A 24,905-nucleotide genomic window follows, 5' to 3' on the forward strand; every position below is an offset into this window, starting at 1 on the left:
TATAGATCAAGGCAGTACCAATGCTTAAGCTCATTAGAGGAGATTTGAGGGAAAGAAAAATGAATATAATCCATCTAGTCATCCAAAATGATTTATAAATAATACTGAGGAAGGTACCAGAAGTAAAAATGTCCCACAAAGTCCCAACATTCACCTCATGATCTGGTAAGTGAAGCCCTTTACTTTCCGATGAACAGATCCTGCCGATTCACTTTGCCACGCACCTCTCCTCTCTCCCGAGCTCTTTTGTACTTAAGACCCTTCAAGACCCAAATCAAGTGAATGTTTTTTTCTTTTTCATAATGCAATTATGGACTCTGCTAATTAGCTTCTTGCCTCAGAGAATCAGTGTGGAAATTAAATGAGAAAAAGACATACATCAGTTCTCATCATTCTTGGCGGTTATGTTCTCTGATATTACTACAAACACTGAATTAGCAAGTACTGAACCCACTGCTCCTAGAGGAAATGCAGAGTTAGGTTCCTGTGGGCCTCTGGTTACAACACTTTTGACAACCAATCAATTCATAACCTTGTTTTATGTGGGTTTGTTTAAAAACACCTTATTTAATATGTGGTGTCAATTCATTAATGTTAAACTCACAGCTAGCAGTGCTGTAACTGAGTGCTGTAACTCATGCCTGAAAGAAGCTTATCTAACATATGCATTTTCTCCATAAGGCACATCACAGCCTCCTTATGCTTAGGAACATTAGACAGCACTTCAGCACTATGCTTAGGGGTCATTTTTTTTTTTTTTTTTTTTGAGACAGAGTCTCGTTCTGTTGCCCAGGCTGGAGTGCAGTGGTGCGAACTCGGCTCACTGCAATCTCTGTCCCCCAGATTCAAGTGATTCTCCTGTGTCAGCCTCCAAAGTAGCTGGGATTACAGGCACACCTAGGGGCCATTTTAAGCAGCAAAATCACCAACAAAAAGCATGAAAATACAAAAAACGTATCCCTAAAACAGACTGTGAAAAATACTCATTTACTGCACAAGAGGTGAAACAAGAAGGCAGGGTGTCACTTTATTCAGCCTCAGTGAAGAATGTGCTCATTGGGTGACTTAAATTTTTTGTCACTCTGTGCATATCTGTGGGTATAGCCCCAAATCAAGTAATAAAGTCATAGGGTTTTAGTAGTGCTGCAAGTATTGATTTTGGGGTTACAAATAAATTATAGTGAGTAGGTCAACTCCCAAATATGGACTCTGTGAATAATGGGGATCAAGTGTACTAATTAAGAATAAAGACTGTACATACAAATTTACACTTAATTGGGCATTCAGTGTCACTAGTAGAGGATTAAAACAGACAAAAAGAAACCAACATTTTGTTGTTGTTGTTTTTTGAGGGAGGTTCTCACTCTATTACTGAGGCTGGAGTGCAGTGGCACAATCACAACTCACTGCAGCCTCAGCCTCCTGGGCTCAAGTGATCCTCCAGCCTCAGCCTCCCACACACCACCACGTCTGGCTAACTTTTAAAATTTTTTGTAGACATGGGGGTCTCACTATGTTTTAGGCCGGTTTTGAACTTGGGCTCAAGTCATCCTCCTGCCTTGGCCTCCCAAAGTGCTGCAATTACATGCATGAGCCACTGTGCCTGGCCAACATTTATTAATTACCTACCAAGTACCAGATACCATGCTAGGTATTTTCATATGTTTATTTTTTACATTAATCTTGCAGTTAAGAAAATAGAAACTCAGACTAAATAAGTTGACCAAATTTACATAGCTAATAAATCCACAGTTGGGTTTCAGGGTCAATATTTACAACTCAAAGCCCATCTCTTTAATTTGGACAAACTCAGGTTGTTCCTATCACTTTCTTGCATATGCTTAGGTTGGATAGGGGATGGAGAGAACAGAAGAGGAAGAAACCTGGGGTTTAACAAAGTTGTCAGGATCCCTGAGTCTGACAACTTGCAGAAGGAAGAGTAAGTTAAATAGCACATCACCGTAATAGCATGAAAAGTATGCAAGCTCACTGATATGGTTTGGCTCTGAATCCCTACCCAAATCTCATCCTGATTTGTAATCCCCATAATCCCTATGTGTCGAGGGAGGGACCTGGTGGAAGGTGATTGAATCATGGGGGTGTGGTTTCCCCTATGCTGTTCTTGTGATAGTAGTTCTCAGGATATCTGACAGTTTTATAAGTGTTTGACAGTTCCTCCTTCACGTGCTCCCTCTTGCCTGCCACCATGTAAGGCATGCATGCTTCCCCTCCGCCATAGTTGTAAGTTTCCTGAGGCCTCCCTAGCCATGTGGAACTGTGAGTCAATTAACACCCAAGTCTGGGGACCTGGAGGGACTTTCCTCAGGTACAGCCAAAAAGGGAGGAAAGGACAGCAAGAATCTTGACCTCCTGTAGCCAAAAGAGAGTAAAGGACAGCAAGAATCTTGACCTCCTGTAGTAGCCCAAGGATGGGCAAAGTTATTTCTTAAAGGAGCTATGGGGTAACTTCCCTGTGATTTCTTCACACTGTGCCTCTCTCTGTCCTTTGAGCCCTCTCCTCTTTCTGCAGGTTGAACTAGGTCTTCAGGTTCCCACTGGGAGTATAGGCCTGAGGAAAGAGGGGTATGTTGACCACATTGTGTATTTTTATGAGAGCATGTCTTATCTCAACAGCGAAATTGTAAGGTTGCTAAAGTTAGGGGTCATGTGTTGTGTTTTTGTAGCTTTTATAATACTTAGCACAGTGTTAAGCATAGAGAAGATACTGTATTAAGTAACACTAAGGTTGATTGCTTTAGTTTCTTGGTGGAGCTTTTATGACTGTGAAATAGGTGTGATTTGGGAGTTTATGTCATCGATTTTCCAAAGTGAGGACACTGTCTTCTTTTGCCACCTCTTAACAGCCTGTCTCCTTCAGCACTCTCAAATTTGTCCGGGTGTGTTTTCCCCTTTCTGCCTCTCTGCCTCCTTCCTCTTGCTGGCATTGATTGTGTCTCCCTGTAACATTGAGTAAGTCCTCTTGTCAGTTGATGCTGTCCTTGAACTGAACAAAACCCTCATGAGCAGGCCATGAGTTGAGTCTCTTACCTCTGTCTCCAGAGGAGTTGATCTCTCCTGACAAGGTTTTGTCTGGTTTTAGTGGAGCAGTTAGTGACAGCCCATGCATGTAGCAGCGTGTGACCCAGCTCCTTGCCTCAAACTATGTAGTCGTCAGAACTGTCACACAGTCACAACAAGTTAATTCTACCCCAGCAGAAGGGCAGACTGTAATGATACAGGGCCTCTGGAGAAGGTGCTGTCAAGCAGGGTAGCTGCCACCACCACCCCAGCTGCTGGGCTCGGTGGGCTAAGATGCCTGCTGACAGGTTGCATGTCATTCCCAGAAACCAGACAGAAACCAGCTTGGTGATTTTCTCTGGGTTTCTGGATGCTCCTGGTACTGCTGGCTGTAATCTGAGAGTGACAGTTTCAATAGGGACCAATCGAAGCCTTAAAAAACCTGTCTTTTCATGGCAGTGGCAGACAATTGCTCTTGACCCTTCTCTCTTGGTTCTTTTTCTTCCCATTGCAGCTAATGAGAATGCTGATTGAGCTGGGGCACATTTGTGGGTTTCCCTGGAGACAGTGGCTGATGAGCTGTTGGTCTCATTAAGGGGCATTTTCTCTTCATGTTCTTTAAGAATTCCTTGGTTTCTCCTATGTTGGGGGACAGCCATAGGGTTCATGGAGGTAGGAGAATTAAGAGTTCATCCAGTGGATGAAGAGAGAGCAAGTGTTTCTGTGTGTGGGCTTTTGGGATATGAAGGAGAGATGCTGTCAGATACATAGAGTGGGGACCCTAGAAGTTTAAGATCATTCAGTAACAAGATGCGAACACTAAATTAGCTTAGTAGAAAGACCCAGATTTTTATTTAAGGCAGAATTTACTTTTTAGATTAGGAGTTAATGGTGGAAGTGATTTTCCTTTCTCTTTTCTTCTTCTTCTTTTTTTTTTTTTTTTTTTTTTTTTTTTTTTTTTTAGAGAGAGGAGACCAAGGAGAACCACAGAGGACTTTGCTTGTAATTAAATAGTGAAGTGGTTAAAAAAAAAAAAAACAATTGTTTTTTTTTTTCTTCGAATGGTATATGTGGCACTTGGGGCATGTGTGATTCATGTTAGTATATTTTTTCTTTTTCTTTTGAGTTGCTGCAATGTAATTGTCTCCTGAACTGATTTTAGGAATTGGTGAGCTAAGCACAGTTTTATTCAGAAATGAAGTATTGTCTTGTTGAAGACCCACTGCCAGATTTAGTGACTCAACCCAGTGCTGATGTAAAGCAACTCAGGACATATCAGCAAAATTCTACAGAAGTCATTCTGGTTGGTCTAGTGAAACAAGTGTAGGAAACAGTATATCCTGCTGTTCTTACTAGTTTTTTTTTTTTTTTTTTTTTTTTCTGAAAGAGAAGATACTAGGCCAGGCGCGGTGGCTCATGCCTGTAATCCCAGCACTTTGGGAGGCTGAGGCAGGCGGATCACAAGGTCAGGAGATCGAGACCATCCTGGCTAACACGGTGAAACCCCGTCTCTACTGAAAATACAAAAAATTAGCCGGGCTTGGTGGTGGGCGCCTATAATCCCAGCTACTCGGGAGGCTGAGGCAGGAGAATGGCATGAACCCGGGAGGCGGAGCTTGTAGTGAGCCAAGATCGCGCCACCGCACTCCATCCTGGGTGACTAGAGCAAGACTCCATCTCAAAAAAAAAAAAAAAGAAAATACTAAAGAGAGATGCTCTAAAAGAAATTCATAGTATAATCCTAAATAATACCATTGAGGAAGAAAACCATGAGGCAGCTGATGAACCAATGGTGACTGATGGAATTATTTCCTAAAAACAAATCTGATCAGATCACATTATTGTATGTGTCATGACTTTAATGTCCTGTTCTCTCTTCCATGCCTTTCACGTATATTCTTTGCATGTCACACTCTATGCATCCTTTAAGATTCAGAACAAAAGACCTCTCTTATATGAAGCATTCTCCAGGAGAGGTCTTGGGGCTTTGAAAACATGTGTTTATATGTCTTTAGTACATTTATAGGGCAAAATTTAAATATATTAAATAGATTAAATGCTTCTTTATATTCCTATCTTTTCCACTAGACTATGACTCATTGAAGTTAAGAGCCATGTATTATTCGTCATTTTATCTGCAGTGCCCAGAAAATGTCTAGCACAAAATAGATGCTAAATTGATGGTGGAAGGTTGAATGAAGGGTACTCTTTGATGAACTCTGGAGTGAGAAAAAAATGTGAACAGATGAAAGGTCAAATTTAATCAGGTAAATTTAAAAGGGTTGATACTTGCAATAAAATGTTTAAATGTAATGGAATGAACTCTTAAGAATACTATTAACATTGAGTTCAGATATTTGAAGAATGTATAGATAATTAAAAAATTAAAAGCACTTTAAAAAGCTATTATTAACCCAATGATTGGGACAGATGGCATAACGTTAGCACAAGGCAAGGAGCTAGAAGAACTATTAGAACCTTGCTTCCGTGTTTTCTACCAGGGAGTGTGATCTACAAAGACATACTTAAGAGGAAATATAAGATTATAGGAGAGACCTGGGCTGCTTGCAGGAAATTCAAGTCTCTGCCAGAAGAGACACAGTCTAGGGTTTTGAAATTAGTAGGTGATTATAGAAGCATTTGGAAAAGAGAGGTCACAGGCTTGCTGAGTCTTCCTCATGTTCTGTTTTCCAAACCAATCCAATTTTCTCTATTCCTACTGCCACCACTGTTAGTCTGTATGTCCCAATGAATCATTCATTTCCCAGATTTCTGAATAGCTGAAGTCTTCTCTCTGTCTCTAGAGTTGAATTTTCCTATGTATTCACACGGAAGCCAAAGTGATGCAAATTTGATCATCTTACTCCCTTGTCCAAACCAATGCAGGGATTTTTCATTTCACTCTTTACTGTGGCTATTTGCCTGGACTCACGTGAGCCTCTCCAGCCTTAACCCTTACTCACTCTTTTCCTTCCACCTTCCTCTTTCTTTCCTAGAGGCTTCATCTTTACTGAACTCTGCCCAGCCTTTCATGCATGCATTTTTCCTGCTCTTCTGTTGAGCCTTTTCACATATATTAATTAATTAAAAAAAATCTATTCACTCAGCCTGGCCCTATATTAAACTTTGGGGGATACAAAGGATAAGCCCAGAAGGAATCTCAGTCCTTATGGGAAGATGATTATTAAATGATCATTAAATGATCAAATCAATGATATTAGAACAAGAATAGGGAGAAATATAATGCTACGAGAGCTTAATGACCTTGTCAACTAGGTTAAAAAAAGTCTCTGGTAAAGTGATGGGGATGATCAGCATTAGCTAGAAGAAGGAGGAAGAAGGTTATTCCTAACCAAAAAACCCCCAAGATTTACAAAGTCCTATTCAGCAAGGTAACCTTATAATAATGAAGAACTGGAAGAAAATCAGTGTGGCTGGAATGAATAGGAGGCAAGTCAGATCATGCAAGGCTTTGTGGGCTATGGTAAGGACTGTGTATCTCTGTATTAAAGGAAGTTCAGAGTCACAGACACATTTTAGGCAGAGTTAGTAGAATAGAATATTTCAAGATCATTCTGTTTGCAGTGGGAATTGGCAGAGGGAGGCTGAAAGTATTTGGGTAAAGCATTTGGCAGGGCTGTTGTAGTAATCCAGGCAATGGATGGTCTGGTTTGGATTAGGGTGGCTGTGGAGGATGTAGAGAGTTGTAGGTTGATTTGAGAGATATTTGGGAGATAAAGTTGGTAGGACTTGGTGGTGGATTAAGATAGGAGACATGAGAAGAAAAGGGCATGCGAAAGAAAACTCCCAGGAGTCTGGCTGGATAACTGGATGGCTGGTGGGGACAGTCAATGAAGAGGAAACTGTGAAAGAAGACCAGATTTGTTGATGAGTTTGATGTTGCACAGATAATCTGAGGAGCTTTTGATCTGTACAAGAGGAGAGGTCAAACAGTCAGTAAGAACCACCGTTCTGGAGCTCAGCGGAGAACGTCCATGCTGGAGACATAAAAACCTGTAAGAAATCTTGTATAAGTTATAATTGAAGCTATGGACTTTGAAAGAACATAAGTATAAAGAAGAGAGAGCATAGGCTCAAGCCTTTAGGAAAGTTAACATTGAATGGGGGAGTAGAGGATGGAATTATAAAAAGCACAGAAAGTTAAAGTACCGAGAGGACAAGTAGTATACTGTGATGTCACAGAAGCTAAGAGAAATGAGGGTTTCAAGAAAGAATTCATGCCAGACAGATGTGAGAGGTCAATGAACATGACACCGCTAGAAAGTATCTCTCAGATTTGGTGGCCAGAAGGTCATTGCTCTGAACAGGAGGAGAGCTTTAGGTCACAACTGGAGGGAAAGAAGGTGTGAACAGCTGTGCTCTCTGACTAAAATACTGTTCCCCTTTCTCCTTACCTGACTGAATATCCCCTCACCCTTCAGATCTTGACTGAAACACCTCTTATTCCAGGAAGCCTCCCATGATGACTCTTTCCACTTTATCTTTCTACAAGACTGGTTGGGTGCTTTTAAAATGTGCTTCCAAAACATTGAACTTGCCCATATTAGCACAAATCATTATATTTTATGCTATTTCTTTGCTCATTGCCTATTTTTTCTGCCAGACTCTCAGATCTGAGAGAGTAAGAATCACATTTATCTAACACCCCCATTGCCTAGCAAAGTGCCATATGCAAAGTGGGTGCTTAATACGTATTTATTAACTGAATACGTTAAATACTGCTGATTTTTCAAATTAGAGTAAAAAAGCATGGGTGAATGAGTTTTATGGAGATATTTCTCAAATTATAAAACAGATTTTAAACATAATTTATGATTATTTATATGAGAAACTGATTATTACTGTGGGCTAGTTTGGGGTCCTGGAGAACTGGTCACTTCAAGCTAATTGAAGAATACTTTTTTTTTTGGAGACAGAGTCTCGCTCAGTCGCTGGAGTGCGGTGGCTCACTGCAACCTCTGCCTTCCAGGTTCAAGTGATTCTCATGCCTCAGCTTCCCAAGTAGCTGGGATTACAGGTGTGCACCACCACACCCAGCTAATTTTTTGTATTTTTTTTTTTTTTAAGTAGAGACGGAGTTTTGATATGTTGGCCAGGCTGGTCTCGAACTCCTGGCCTCAAGTGATCCACCCGCCTTGGTCTCCCAAAGTGTTAGGATTACAGGCATGAGCCACGGTGCCCGGCCAAGAGTTTTGAGACAGAGTCTTGCTCTGTTGCCCAGGCTGGAGTGCAGTGGCACAATCTAGGCTCACCACAACCTCTGCCACCCGGGCTCAAGTGATTCTCCTGCCTCAGCCTCCTGAGTAGCTGGGACCACAGGCACGCGCCGTCGTGCCTGGCTAATTTTTTTTATTTTTAGTGGAGATGGGGTTTCACTATGTTGGCCAGGCTGGTCTCAAACTCCTTTCCTCATGATCTGCCTGCCTCAGCCTCCCAAAGTGCTGGGATTACAGGTGTGAGCCACCATGCCTGGCCAGAATACTTCTTTTAATAGACAAAAGGAAGCTTCCAGATCATAGGAATGTTGTGGACATAGCATACTTGGGTTTTAGCAGTCACTCACGATATCCATGCAGACAATATGGTTTAATACCAATTTTGGGAAAAGTGTTCTGATCTTCTCTTTGTCCTGTCTTGATTTGAGCTAAGGTAAGGGGTCTACAGTCTCTGATATGAAAGCCTTGGAGTCAGATTTGTTTCAAAACTTAGTGTTTTTGGATGTTATAATGGTAACACAGAAAAACACTGATGTATGTATTCCCTTCACTTTATCATATCAACTTGCTGAATTTCTTGAAAAGAGTGACAATAATGACATAGTTGTTTTGTATCTCACTTTAGAGTTCCACAAGCACTACATTTTATCCTCACATCAGCTCTGTGAGGTAGGCGAGCTCTCCATTTTATGGATTGGGGACGCTAAGGCTTTGAGATATAATCTACTAAGCCATATTTTTAAAGCAGATTTGTAAACTCAAGTCAAATGTTTTTTATCTAGCTCCAGATAGCCTTCTCAGTTCTGAGGCTACGTGTCTCAGGAGCTTACGTAACTTCTGTGTTACTGTGTATCTGTCTAAAAATTGACACATGGTCTTAGGTTATTTAATGGCAAAAATTATGTTTTATTCATTTTCGTACCCCCACAGGTTCTAAAACGTAATAGATACACAATATTTCCTGAATGAATAAACCTAATTATGTCAAAATTTCTTCATCAACAAAATGAAAGAGACTAGGATCCCAAAGAACTTTTGTTATGTTAACCATATTAGAAATTAAAACTGAGGACCAGCCACGGTGGCTCACGCCTGTAATCCCAGCACTTTGGGAGGCCGAGGTGGGTGGATCACCTGTGGTCAGAAGTTTGAGACCAGGTTGGCCAACATGGCAAAACCCCGTCTCTACTAAAAATATAAAAATTAGCTGGGTTTGGTGGAACGCACCTGTAATCCCAGCTACTTGGGAGGCTGAGGCAGGGGAATCGCTTGAACCTGGGAAGCAGAGGTTGCAGTGAGCTGAGATCGTGCCATTGCACTCCAGCCTGGGTGAAAAGAGTGAAACTCCGTCTCAAAAAAAACCAAACAAATAAACAAACAAAAAATACACTGAGAAACTAAAAGGAATTTTTGGTTTATTGAAAAAATAATAACATATTCACCATATGTTAATATGTAACATAATTTATAAAATATAACTATATTTTCCAAAATAAAAATACGTAAGTGAGAAGAGTGATATTATTTTAGATATTTGCAAATCTCTTTCAGGTCTGGCTTAACAGATGATAGCTGGATTTTCGTATCTGCTTCCACTTTCCATCATCTATTGTTCTATGTTATTTTTGTTGAAGTATATGAAGAAAATCAGGCCTCACACAGTTATGTAGTTGGAAAAGGGAGAAATATTTTAGCGGTATTTTCATATAATTTTTTGTGGACATTATTTTTGGATACTATACTAGAACTTGAACAATGGTAGTTTCTTTAAAGTTAGTTGATATGTGGAATCTGAAATCATACTAATAAAATTTTCTTCCTCTGTGACAATAAAATCCATTAGTCTGTCATTTTTTCACTTTGGATGAATCTTTTTCCCATGTGTAATTTTGCAGCATTATGTATTGTTCATTTGGAAAATACTGTTTTCCTGAGTTATGCAGAGTTTCCAAATTACTGACACAGTTCACTGTAGAAAAAACAAAACAAATGGCTGGGCGGGGTGGCTCATGCCTATAATTCCAGCACTTTGGGAGGCTGAGGTGGGCAGATTGCCTGAGGTCAGGAGTTCGAGACTAAGCCTGGCCAACATGTTGAAATACTGTCTCTACTAAAAATGCAAAAATTAGCCAGGCATGGTGGCATGTGCCTGTAATCCCAGCTACTGGAGGCTGAGGCAGGAGTATTGCTTGAACCCGGGAGGCAGAGGTTGCAGCAAGCCGAGATTGAGCCGCTGCACTCCAGCCTGGGTGACAGAGCGAGACACTGTCAAAAAAAAAAAAAAAAAAATTCACATTCATTAATATCATCACCAGTTTTATCAGAAGTCTTTAAGTGTTGGGAAGTTGTTAAGCTCATAGTGGAGTATCCAAAATTTCTAAAATTTGAATTTTTAGTTGAAAGCTCATATTTCATCATATAAATAACAATAATGACAGCAATAAATACTGTCATGTGTTTCACTAGCAGTGACTAGCTTGCTTCATTCATTTTTCATAAAATGTCTGCCAGTACCCAAGTTTGAATAACTATGGTATGACTGTCAGCCATTCTTTCAAGTAAAAGTGTTGTTTCATGAAAAAATTGGCTAGTGCAGATTTCCATTCGAACAATTTCACATATGCTTTTCTTTGAGACAGTCATCATAGTTGGGTATGCATCAAAAGTGCTTTATGTATACCTCCCATTTTGTCATATAGAATATTAAAAAGATGTGTACTCAAGAGTTCATACTTAAAAAATATAATTTTTACTGCATCATCAAGGATTCTTAAGTAAAACTTCTCTAATTCCCACATCCCTCTTTTAACCGTAAGTTCATACCTTAAATTATGCTAAAAGGTCAGGCATCGATCTTGCACCATTGGTGGAAATGTCAACATAGTAGACAAGGCAAATAACAGCCTAGTATTATTACAAAAATGTTCTTTACCTCTTTAGTCTCCTGAAAGCATCTCAGAGACTTCTAGATATCTGCAGATCACACTTGGAGTACTCCTGGTATAATAGTCAGTCTATAAGTATTGTATTGCGTTACCTACCTCTAGTGGTGATACTGGGAGAGAAAATGTAATTGATCAAACTGGGTCAAACCTCACTTTATCATGCAGGACTGATGATGTAACTGGGATGCACCAATCCAATGAGCAAACAAGCTCAATTCATTTGCATCTGTCTCTTTTATCTGTTTTGTTAAATTTCACTGGTATTTGTACATCAACCCAAAGTTGCATTGCGAGCAAGATTGCTAGGTGTTCCTGAAATCCACTGCTTCTTTTTCTTAGCCTCTCTTGCATCAGATATGCCCATTGAACTGTGCCAACAACAATGTTAGTGGAAGGGCTGAGTGTTACTACTTGGCCCATCCCACTGAAATCCTCCATGCATGCTAGTCTGTGTTCTTTAGTCCCCACTGATGGGATGGGGATCAGAATAAAGACCAATGAGATGGTGGAAGAAGCCTTGGAATGACCATGTGGAGGAGGGCTGACAGCATTCAGAATGTCTGAACACTGGTCCAGGGGCAAGTGAGCAAGAAATAAATTTCTATTGTTTTGAGCATCAGATGTTTAGGTCTATTTGTTATAGCAATTAGCCTACCTCACCACTGACTTGAATAATGACCCTTTAATTAGAATTCACAGTGATTCATATTCCTCAATTACACGTAAATTAAAACTGTTCTAAAGGCTAACATCATTAATGATTTCTTTTTACAGAGATATTCTGAAAAAGGACATCTCTTTCCAAATTTATGGCAGATTCTCTTTTTATCCTCTCTGCAAAGAATCTATTTTTAAATTAATGGGTAATGCAAGGTATAATGAGGAACAAATATTTGTCCCTTAAATATTTGGGGGAATATTGCATTGCATTATTACTTCACATATGTTCCAACCCTTAAGTGACTAGCCTGGGATACTCATGGGTGTAGACAGGGAATTAAGCAGGAAATTGGAAATGTATTCCATGAAAGATACAATGAGAAAAGTAATTGAAGATAAAGTATTATAAATAGGATGACTCAGAAACTTGAAAAGTGCTTTCAAATAATGGATATAGTTTTCAAGGGGGAAGTAATTGAGTAGATTCCGAATTTAAAACCTTTGGGGAATTGGTTCTTCTCCTAATTACTTATCCTTCTCCCTGGTTTGTGAATATGAAGCTAATTCTCCCTAGTGTCAGTTGGATAGAGATGCAATTACAAAAATAATGGATGTGATCCAGGACATCATTAACCTTTTTTTTTTTTTTTACTTTGCTCTTATCTGTATTCAATGCAAGTCAGCATTCTGAGCAAATAACTGAACTACTTTCATAAACATTGTGTATCATAGCATATGCTACGTGATCACATTCAATGACATTGCTTCCACGGATTCCACAACAATCATTTCCTATCTTAGCTGTCTGCAGTGATCCAGTTTCTGACAATTTCATCTTTTTTTTTTTTTTTTTTCTTTTTTAGAGACAAAGTCTTGCTCTGTCGCCCAGGCTGGAGTGCGGTGGCGCTATCTCCACTGACTGCAAGCTCTGCCTCCTGGGTTCACGCCATTCTCCTGTCTCAGCCTCCCGAGTAGCTGGGACTACGCCCACCACCACGCCTGGCTAATTTTTTTGTACTTTTAGTAGAGATGGGGTTTCACCGTGTTAGCCAGGATGGTCTGGATCTCCTGACCTCGTGATCCTCCCGCCTCGGCTTCCCAAAGTGCTGGGATTACAGGCGTGAGCCACCGTGCCCGGCCCAATTTCACCGTTTTTAAAGACATCTGAGCTGAGTTTCCATTAGGCTGATTTTTAAAAACAGTCTAAGTATACTTTGACATTAATTCAACAAACATTCACTGAGTATGTACCATGTGCTAGGCACTGGTGATACAAAGATATATAAGTACCTCTTATTTTATAGGAGTGCCCAATCCTGAGGGGGGCTAACATATTGTAATAGTCAACCAGACGAGGTTGACTATTATTGACAAAAATAGACAACCCTTCCAAATCTCAGTGGCTTAACATGACCAACATTTATTTCATGTTCATACTTTACATCCAAGAAAAGTCAGTGATGGGGCTTTGTCCCTTAGGTACCCGGGGACTCAGGCTTTTGGAAGCTTCATCTACAATGTAATGCCACCTTTCCCCTGCACCTGGGAAAAGGACCACAGCCAATTGCACACTTACTTTCAAAGCTCTGCCCAGAAGAGACACGTGTCATTTCTGCTTGCATTTTATTGGCTTAAGCAAGTCAAAAGACTACATCCAAGGGAGCACAGAGCGCCCAATCCTAAAATGTGCCCAGAGGGAAGGAGAAATAGGATGTTTGTGGGCAATCATATGACCACATATATAAATAGACAGCTGCAATGCAGAGAAGGGAATAGACAATCTCAGTACTAGAAGATATGATGATACAACAGTAAATGTTACAATGAAGGTTTGCACAGGATACTGATCAACACTGAGGTAGACTGAGCCTCAGGTTGGAGAAATGGATCACGGTGAGCATCAGCTTAACAATTTCTTCCCTAACCAAGCTTCTGTGAAGCCTTGGACTTGCTCAGGTCTTCCTTGTATCTTCTCATTGCATCCTACTGCCCTCCTTCACAGTGCTTTTATTAGCGTCTATCTTTCCTGACAGATTATAATCTCCCTGAGAGCAGGGACTGTGTCTGACCTCTATATAGCTGTGTCCAAGAAATGTTTGTGTAATCATAGTATCCCTTGGCTCATAGAAGGCACCCAAGAACTCTTTGTGAATGAAAGCATGAGGAGGAGCTGAATTTTGGTTAGTAAGTTCAAGTTAGCCCAAGGAAGAAGGAAGAGAGAGCACTGCACACTAGGGTCATCATGCACAGAGGCACAGGCACATTAGAGGCAAGGCCATTTTGGAAAAGGAAAGGGCAAAACTTGTGGTTCGCTTGCTCCCTAGGAGAGGAATTCTTACTCATGCATAGCTTAATTGTCATTTTAAGCAAAAGTGAGCCAGTGTTCCACTTCTAAAGCTCTCTGGGCTTCTAACCCCCCTTTTCTCTTGCCTTGCTGCTTTGATGAGCCGAGACCACCAGCTGGGCCAGGCTTCGATACTGTGGATAAATGTCTATGAGGGGCGACAACCAGGCCACCAACCTCATTTTCACTTGTGATTCAAGCCCAAACTTTAACCTTTCTCCAGAGGAGTAGATAATGCATTAACACTTCAAACCACTCCACCAGCTCCCAGGGCACGGTGGTATCTGCTGTCTCCTAGGTCTGAGTGCATCTCCCATTTGCTTCTGATAATCACAGCCTGGGAAATTATTTCAAACTGGAAAAAAGGGCTGTGGAGGGAGAGATGAGGAAGTGCCTCTCATGGAAACGGAACTGTTTTCCCCGGGTTCACCTTGCTTAGGTATGTCTCGCTTTAGATCATAAGGCAATTGGATTTGGATTCCTTCTACCCCTGGAACCTACCACATTATTAGTCTGTCACTGATGAATAAATTTCTGTGCAGTTTTGCTGGGGTTTAGCAGCAGCATTTTTCCAGGGTAGGAGACAGATTCTTGGTCAGATCTCTTAAATGGAAGCTTAGCGTTTGTGCAGAAAAAACTGATTGGGGAATGTTCACTTACATCAGAACTGAACTGATCAAACCAGAGCAGATGGCAGGTCTTATCTCTGCCCCTTGAGCACTTGCCCTGGCTAACTCACAAAGACTGTCTCCAGCTCAAAGAAGCAGTCTGGGATGCTACTGAATATTTTATCTGACATGAGGATGAAGGTTTTTTTTTTTTTTTAACAACATATAATGATTAAATTAAATGACTCCCTGCATATATATTATATTCATTACTGCACACTTACTTTCTCAAAATGAAAAAGAGAGTAATAACAACTCCGGACCCTTTAAATCTGCCCATCTGGGATACAAGTAGCTTATTCCTGCACTTGTCATTCCAAGTCACATGTGGCTATTTAAATTAAAATTAAAATAAAATATTTTTAAAAGTTTACTTCCTTATTTAAACTAATCACATTGAAGTGCTCAATAACCACGTGTTGGCTAGTGGCTGCCATTTTGGGCATTTCTATCATTCCAGAACATTCTGTCAGGCAGCACTGGCTTAGACCATTGTTCTCCAGAGTGAGATGAGAGTAACCCAAAATGTCTGTAAGACAGTGCCTTGTGGGGAGAGGGGACATATCAGAACTTCTAATTATCTAGTTCCAGGAAGTAGACTTTGAGATAGAGCTTAATAAGCGAGGAATTTATTAGGAATCATCATCAGGATCAACACCTGTAGAGGAGTGCAATTGGAGTGCATAGAGGAAGGACTGGCGGAGAAAGGAGGGAGATGTTGGCTGTGGTGCAGTTACAGTAAACACCTCCATTGACTCACAGAAAGCTCTGAAGCAGGGAAAGCTTTTCAGAGTTCTCCTGAGCCCTCAAGTTCTAAGAGGGCACCAGCACTTCATACTCCTGCAAGTGGCCACTGGGATAGGGTTTGATCTTGGGCAAGGAGGTTTTCTCTAGCAGCTGAGGGAACAAGCCTTTTGGTCCTGAAGGAGGGATCCAAGTGATGCATCAGATTGTCTGTGGCATTTGGTGTCCTTGTATTTGTTTTACAATGTTCAAAATTTATTAATACAGTGGTAGATGAATTTACTTTATAAATGAACATAGGTTCATATAATGAGACTTGGGCTAAATGTAATTTACTAATCCGAATGCAAAAATAAAAAGCTTGGAAATCGTCTGGTCTAGACTCTGGATTGAAACCTAGATTTTATGTTGGAATGGCTAAAATACTCTTTGCAAACTGGTGGCCACTAGTCCAATCCAGCAACAGACTAGTTTGTTCAGAACAGCCAGCTAGGCAGCCTACCTGCCTGCCTGCCTGCCTTCTTTCCTTCCTTCCTTCCTTCCTTATTTCCTTCTTTCCTTCCTTATTTCCTTCCTTCCTTCCTTCCTTTCTTCCAAAGTCATATGCAAATGACTTTAGGCTATGGCCTGATCCAGATGACTATAGGCCATACTGTCATCTTAAGCTCAGGAATTTCACACATTTTCATGGCCTATTTGAACCCTGAAGGTCTTTAAGTTTATAACCCTTCATCTGCACAGTAACAGAGAGAGCGTCTGATGCTAAATGCAGTAGAGAAAAATGAAAAACATAATAAGAAAGGTGGAAGAAACTCAAGACCAAGGAATGAGAACAAATGGGAGTAAACTGTGAAGTGGAACTAGCCACTGCTTTAAGAAATTATATACAATCACTCTTCTTGGTGGGTCAAGAGGGAAGCTGAAAAAACCAACAAACAAAAACTCCCAGAGTATTGAAGACCCAGCCCCATTTCCTATGAAAAACAAGAGAACTAATATTTATTCAGCATCCATTTGTAATATATAGTAGGCACTTCAGTGGGTAGTTCCCGAATATAAATGTAATTTAATTTTTCTAAGTTCCCACTGGTACGAATTGATTATCTCCTCCCTCCAATCCAAATATTGAAATTCTGGTTCCCATTGTGATAGTGTTAGGAGGTGGGGCCTTTGGGAGGTGATTTGTTCATGAGGATGGAGCCCTCATGAATGAGATGAGTGCCCTTATTAAAGGGACCACAGAGAGCTATCTTGCTCTTTTCCCATCATGTGAGGATATGAGAACTCAGCTATCTGGAACCTGGAAGAGAGCCCCTCACCAGAATCCAGCCATAGTATTACTCTGATCTTGGACATCTCAGCCTACAGAACTGTGGGAAATGACTGTTTGTTGTTAAGCCACCCAATCTATGTATTTTATTATAGCTACCTGAGCTAAGATGCCCCCTGAGCTAGGTGTGAATATCATAGGATAGGAAAGATGGCTCCACGAGTGACAAGGAGATGGTAGTGAGACTTGTGGCAGAGAAGCCTTGTAATTTATTTATTTTTCCCTTGGAAACCTGTACTTCCAACTTGGCTCTCAGAGATTTTTGTGCAGAGAGATTCATAAGCCTGGAGCCACAAATTCAGGTGCCTGCCAGAGTCTGGCAAGAAATAGAAATGGGTGAAGCCAGTACAAAATCAGACAATAAGAGGCGGAGACTGTGGCGATGTGGAGAGTCCATGCTCCCCCTTCAGGAGGCAGCTGCTGTGGCCAGAGGACTGTAGGGCTAGTGTTAACCAAATGTCTCAGTTTTCAAGAGATGTTGGGTACCTAGTTGAATGTTGGAGACATAGGCAAAGCCTCTGGGTATTTACACATCAACATTCAATTAAAAAATGTTATGGGTCAGAAGACACACACATCTGGGGCTGCAAGCCAATTTCTGAGACAGAAGGGCCTTGATTTGAGAAGATTCATGGCATTGTTAGAGAGCAGGCATCGTGTTGATAGGGACCACTGCCCAGCTTTAGAAAGGCAGAAGCTCTGATGTGAGGACTTGAGGAGCCATTCATACTCTCCTGCCTCTCAGAGGATGCTCACCCTGAGGACATCTGTTCAGAACCTGACCTGGGCTTGTTAAATACTGGAGAGCTGGTTAGCAGGGCAACTCTGGGCAGGGGACGCCTGAGCCCCTCACCTCCAAAGTGAACAGAAGCTCGTATACGTGGAGCTCCTATTTCCACAGATATTTCCTGGTGCTGCTTCAGCTCATTTTAGACCAGACTCACTTCAACTTTCAAATACAGCCCTTGATATACTTCTGTAGACTCTTTGGCTATCACTGAGTATCACTCCAGACCTGCAAACTAATTCTAGAAATGTCACTGTTGTTACAATGTATTAGCACAGTACATTTAGTCATTAGCAATTAATAAACTGTTTAACCCTTGGCTTGAAAGGGGAAGAAAACAGGAAGAGGTGAATCAAAAGGTGAAGACACCCACTTCCGGCTCCCTGTTTATGATGGTGGCTTTGTACCATCATCACTCTGGCCTGAAAGTTTTTATTCAACCTCTTTCCTTCCCACAGAAGAGGACACAAAATAATTGAGCAGGTACAACCCACAGCCCGCAGCCCTAGAAATGTGCCACAGAACAACACAGAATAACTGTTGGGTGGTAATTGTTTGCTTGTTTGTTCTTTTGAGCAAGGTGGGTAGAGATGAGGGCAAGGTTCTGCAGTAACAGTCTAGAATTTGTTCTCTTGGGACAACAAGAACCTGGGAGAATTTCAGAACCCATTAATTGCCAAAATGTATCCATTCAACCATCTACCCATCTATCCATCCATCCATCCATCCATCCATCCATCCATCCATCCATCCATCCAATATTTATGGTGTTCTTGCTATAAGACAAAATAATGAATCTACCAGGATGAGGCTATCATGCTGAAAAGCAGCCCATTCACAGCCTAACTAATCACTTCTGCACCCCACTTGGTTTCAGGGACATCTTCCTTTTTGACACCCCCCACCTTTCCCCAACCTGTCTCTGTTCTGGGTCTGGGCCAGTCTGTTTATCCAGTGCCTTACTCACTCTGTGAGTGCCCCTCCAGTGTCACGTGGGATGCCTAAAGAGGGCTCTGATATTAGCTTGCTGTGCCTTGTCAGTTCAAATCAAGTCACGGCAGCTCAAGCCCACCCCGCAGGCAAGTTCTTGACAGCTCTCCTTGTCAGCTGACCGCTGAAAGGCAGCAGCAGTGAGTGGAAACCAGTTAATTAGCAGTGATGACTTCCAGATTGGGATTTTTTGTTTAATGCTTAGTTAACTTCACAGTAATTGAATTTAGACTTGGCTTACGGATACTGGGGTGAAAGGTTCTGGATGGAGCCCCAGGACTCTCTAGCAGGAGAATGAAAAAGGCTATTGTTCCAAGGCTTGTCTGGCCTCTGCTCATGAACCCCACGAATATTTGCAGGCCTGCAATTTCCCACAGGGAGATTTGAGGTGCAGGTAAGGGAAACAGAAATGCTGCAGTTCCTGCCCCGTCATGATTGATGTCAGATTTGGTGGAATCTGTATATCTGCACAAAGAGGAACGGGCTTCTTTTGAGTGATTTCTATGTGCCTGTCACAAGGGTGGGCTCTTCACATATATTCTCTCATTTCTTCTCACACCATACTAGTGAGGTCAGTGCTATTATTTTCATTGTTCGGGAGGGTGATGTTCAGAGGTGTTGAGTAACTAACTGACATCACACAGTAAGAAGCAGGTCCAGGATTTGAAGTTGGGTGCTTCTGACTCCTAAATCAGACTCCCTCAATTGTTGCTTTGGAAGAAGGCAAAGCTAGAGAACTTTTCTGTCTCTTATATGGAAAGTGATGCTGAGAGTTTTAACTTCAGCAAGGATTGCTACCAACAGTGAGGATGGGTCTTGGGTAATGCTTTTCCTGGCCAGTCCCATTCTTTCCCTTGTGCAAGATGGTGTTCATTCAATGAAGACAATGTGCTCATATTTCTTGTTTGGAGGTTTTATATTCTGATTGTCAATATATCCAATGTATTAATTAGGAAATTTTTAGTTGTCACCAGCAGAAACCAAGCCAAAAATAGCTTGGGTATAAAATGAATGATTCTGTTCATATGGCTGGGAAAAATACCAAAGTGGCACACAAACGTGAAAGATTCACTCAGAATAATTTGGTCATGGGGCCTGGAGCCATGGACATGAAGCCTAGCTGTGTGGTGTCTCTCATCTGTGCTAGGATCTGACTTGATGTATTGCTATGGACTGAACATTTGTGTCCTCCCTGCTCCCAATTCATATGCTAAAGCTCTATCCCCTAGGGTGACTGTATTTGGGGATGGGGTCACTAAGGAAGTAATTAAGGTTAAATGAGGTCACAAGGGTGGGGCCTTGATCCATAGGATTAGTGTTCTTATAAGAAGAGACACCAGAGAGGTTTCTTTCTTACAAGGAGATCAGGTAAGATCTCAGAGAGACAGCAGTTGCCTATAAGCCAGAGAAGAGGCCTCAGAATTAAATCTACCTTGCTGGCACCTTGACATTGGACTTACCAGCCTCCAGAACTATGAGAAATAAATCTCTGTTGATTAAGCAATCTAGCCTCTAGTATTTTTTTGTAGCAGCCCAAGCACACCAATATATATGTTTTGGCTCCTTTTCCTGTTCTGCAGATAACCTTCCTCCATGTGGTCAGGAGAGATGGTCACTGGAGCTCCAGGCTACAATGGTCCCGTTTAATAACTTAGATGGAAACAGTTCATTATCTTCAGATTGTTTATACAGTGAGGATCATGCTAATATCACACACCCACATCCCACACCAATCGCTGATGATGTAGGGGAAGGAATGGAGGATAGAGTATGATTGGTCATGCCTGTTACCAGAAAAAAGAGGGTAAGAAAAGTTCCAGAATGAACCAAGAAGAGGTAAAGTCAGTAATGACAGTGCAGCACACCTAGGGAGAAACACCATTTTGTGCCATTACAGAGGAGACCCCAGAACCTGGTATAGTGACTGGTAATTCTAATGACTGCCTTTCTAGTTGATTGACTGAAGGAAGCCCCAAGTTGAACTCTTTTCATGTTGTGTTTCACTGTGCAGCTTCTTCAAAGGGTAATAGTTAATCACTTTTTAAATTTGTGTTTGAATGAGTCTTGGTGGGATTACATGTAAGAACAGGGTTTTGACTTTCTAACAGATGCTGAGCTGGAAAGAATTATGGAAGTGACTCAGCGTGGACACAATAGGGGGAAACTTGTTGAGCTTGCCCAAGAAAAGTTCCCTCCTCTGTCCTAAGGTGCAGTGCATATCCCAGGATATTGGTTATGCTAAGAATCTCCTTGCAGAATGGTCCTGCCCTCCTGGGGAAGGATGAGCAGGCCCTCTCTGATAGGAGAATGAGATGGGAAAAATCTGAAAGCCTTTTATGTCCGAACAGATCGAATCCGAAAGCCCAAATGGAGCAACACCCAAATTCCAAAATTGTCCTTGCTACATTGAAATAGGATTATAAACACCTAATGAAAACATTTAATTGACAAATACTGTATGAGTGACTTCTTTGTGTACCATGCCATTTATGTTTAAAAAAAGATGTTAGCTAATATTTTTATAATTGTTGTTGACTGGAGAAGCTGATTACATGGAGCTCTTGTTGATTTGCCTAAGCACCCATAATCCAAGGATGTTAGTAGCATTGCTGGAAAGAACTTGAAACAGTCTTGCCAGTGACTTTTAGCAGTAGCTAGGTCTTCCAAATTCTCTCTCTCTCTTTTTTTTTTTTAAAACTTAGGAAAGAGGTACTGTAGTTGGAATGCAGTATCTAGAATCAAATAATCTGTGGTGGGTTTTTGTATTCTAGCATATTAGTGATATGATTTTGGGAAACTCATCAGGTCTCTGAATCTCAGCTTTCCTATCTGTAAACTAGGAGCAATAAGAAGTTCTATGTCTACTGGTTACGGTTATTTTGAGCAGGGACTTAAAGTCAGTACTTCTGATTAAGAAAATGAGAACTTCAAAGCTTTTCTCCTCCTCCTTCACTTTTCCCTTCTTGTCCTCTTTTTTCTTTCATTATGGGGTCAAGGAAGACGAATTGTACAAAAAGTGTTTCTAGGACATCTCAGCTATTAGAATTGGCACATGATTTGCACTATGTGATAACAGAGCAGTGATATTGTCACGGTTTCCAGTGCACGTGACTTTCACCTGTGTGTAGTAAAAGGCAACCTACGATATTTATTTTTCTAAGGTAAATATTAGTTCTTTTGAGACAACATGTTTTGAGTTTGTGACTCTGTCTTGTGGGTTTTATAATTTGAGACTGTCATTTTCATTGTTTAGTTAATAACTTATAAAGGGCATCATTATGAAAGAGTCAAATCCTATGATTATAAGTTATACTAAAGGGAAGAGAGCTTCAATTCTCATTGAGGGACAGTGGCCATGACTTGGATAGGGCCTGCAGTGACCATCGCTGTTAGCACTGGGGTGCCACATCAGTAGGGTGTTCATATAATGTATCAGGAACTGTCCAAGGCAAATCAGGACACAGTTAATCATTTTTATGATCTTCTTCAGACTTCACATCTATGGAATGGACACAAGCCTCTTTCTCTTGAGTTTTAAGAATCTGTAAATTTAAAAGTTCCAAGTTCCTCAAGAAAAAATTACAATGTAAGGCCAGTCTAATTAGGTATTAACTCTTTTTCCTCCAATATTTGAAGTTTTAGAAATCCTTCTGATGGTGCTTCTTTTGATTTGTTAGAGCATCTTTTCATTTCATGGATTCAATAGGTTCTCTTATCTCTTTAAGGATACTGATGACAGTTTTTAAACTTTATTTTTCCCTGCAAAGTCTACCTTCCTCTATATTATTTTTGTTTATTTATTTTAACCTTTTTTTTCCATTTTAAAGATTATTTTTGATACCTGGTAATTCTTGGCTGCTTGCTCATGATGGGGCTGAAAAGTAAATCAGAGGCTCCAAGCAGGTGGGGAATGGAACTTAACTGACTGAGCATCACACAAGTGGTTATCCAGTGGATTGTTTACTGTGGACCCCCGATGTCATTTTCTTTAGGTCTTTCCTGTGGGTAGGTCATGTTCCCAAAGAATTATCTCCTAATCCCCTGTCTGGCTGCCAGATAAGGGTCTGGCTGTCAATTTTCCTGGGGATTGATACTGGGAAGGAGGCAGGGGGCTCAGTGTTACATCATATCGTAAATAATTTACAAATATCTGGTACAGTACTTGGGCCCTTAACCATACTGACCTCAACCCCAGTCCAGAGACCTTTCATTGTATGCAGTGAATAAGCTTGGGGACCTTTGCGAGGTCAGTGAAAAGCAGTTACCCATTGGTATGGAGAGGAAGCGGAAGATCTAGAATCTAAATGATTATCAAACAGGTTTCACACAGTCCTTTTCCTTATAGCCTTCCAGACTCCCAGCCTCTAGTTCCAGAAGTAGGTGGTGCTACTTGTTCCTTAGATTTTTAAGGTTTTGGCAGTATAATTTGGCTTTTGGAAGGGAGCAAAATTGAATGTATCTTCAATCTGCCCTCTTAACCCAGAACACTGTATCATGTGATTTAATTCTTGCTTTTATTTCTTTGGACATATTAAACATTCAATATAAATTATAGTTGACAATTCTAATATCTAGCCTTTTGGATATGCTTTTGTTGATTGTTGTTTCTGTTTACTCTTATTGACGGCATCTTTTTAACTGTGAGTTTTTCAGACTTCATTGTGAGTTCATGTTACTTGGAACCTTGAAGCTGCTTTGATAGGTACTTCTTCCAGGGACCTAGGGGTACTCTCACCTTGGGTCTGCTTTAAGTTCTCAATTTCTGATTCTTTTGGATACCTAAGAAGTGTGAGGGCTGGCCCATGGTTACAAATTCCTGGCTGGAATTTGTAACTAACCCTTTTCTAGTGCATGTGGCCCTTTGGAGATATAGCTTCCTAAAGGGGGCCCTAGTTCACTTCTATACCTGGGAATAGCCCTCAGGTTATGCCTTCTGCTCCAAAAATGTGAAGTTTCTAGAAACAAAGCTCTCATTCTTGAGACTAGAATCTGGCATCAGGACTAAGCTCACCCTTGAGATAGATTGATCTGCAGGGCTAGCTTATCTTGCTAGATGCCTGCTCTTGCTTTATCTCTGGCTTCAGAGGATCACCCCTACGTTCATACATGCTCACTTAGGCACGTAAGAGTTTATAAGAACTGAGGTTGGGTATGGTGGCTCACGCCTGTAATCTCAACACTTTGGGAGGCCAAAGTGGGAGGATTCCTTGAGCCCAGAAGTTCAAGACCTTTGTGGGCAACATATGGAGATTCTGTCTCTACAAAAGAAAAAAATTAGCCCAGTGTAATAGCACGTCTATAGTGCCAGCTACTTGGTAGGCTGAGGTGGGAGCATCACTTGAACCTGGGAGGTCAAGACTGCGGGAGCTGTGATTGTGGCACTGCACTCCAACCTTGGTGGGAGAGTGAGATCCTGTCTCAAAAAAATAAAATAAAAGAATTGAGTACCTGTTTTCTTTCTGCTCTTCTACATTGTCAAGTGAATTAAACAGAGAAAGTTGGCTTTGCCTGATGGCTCTGCCCACTGCTACCAAGGCGTCCAGGTTTGAGGTCAGCTATGGGCAATTTGCCAAGAAAATCTCCCCACACCCATCCATACCCACTGCACCCTGCTGCAGACTCTACGTTTCTCTCCTGCTTAGAAACCTTCTGGGGCTCTCCCTTCCTCTTCATTGCTCTCTATTCTCCATCCTGGCTGCTCTTTTAACAGGTCTTACCTTTGCTCTTCTGTTCTTGCAGTGCCCTCTGCTTAGAACACTGTCACTTGCCCAATACCCAGAGCCCCTTGGTCCCAATCGCCCCCTATCATTCCCTCTTTGATCCTGTTCATGAGGGGTCCTCTACTTGGCATGTCTTTACTTTACCTTCCCCATATGGCTAGTCTTCACTTTACCTGCCCCATATAATAACCTCAGTCGTATTTATGGCTTGATTCTAAAACCACCTTCTCCTTGCAGCAAACCTTGATCTTCCTTACCAAAGGCAAGCTCTCCCACAACACATACTTTAAATTCCACTAACAGCTTTGTACCACTTCTCAGTGATTATTTTTGCATATATCTCTTCAGCTTCCACCTGCTGGAGGTAAAAAAAAAAATTGTACAAGGGAGATCGACAAAAGTGTATTTTCTCTAAAATACTTAGAGGAATTAGTTATGTTGAGATTCATAAATATTTAATTT

General features: G+C 41.1%; 1 annotated feature.

Annotated features, from left to right (window-relative positions):
- Positions 14,155-14,656: an enhancer, noted in NCBI's record as "NANOG hESC enhancer chr9:81117468-81117969 (GRCh37/hg19 assembly coordinates)". NCBI's record gives its function as "activates a minimal SCP1, AML or CMV promoter by ChIP-STARR-seq in naive and primed H9 embryonic stem cells {active_cell/tissue: H9 hESC(naive and primed)}" and the evidence as "EXISTENCE:reporter gene assay evidence [ECO:0000049][PMID:30033119]".

Source organism: Homo sapiens, chromosome 9, assembly GCF_000001405.40.
Source record: "Homo sapiens chromosome 9, GRCh38.p14 Primary Assembly".
Lineage (NCBI taxonomy): Eukaryota > Metazoa > Chordata > Mammalia > Primates > Hominidae > Homo > Homo sapiens.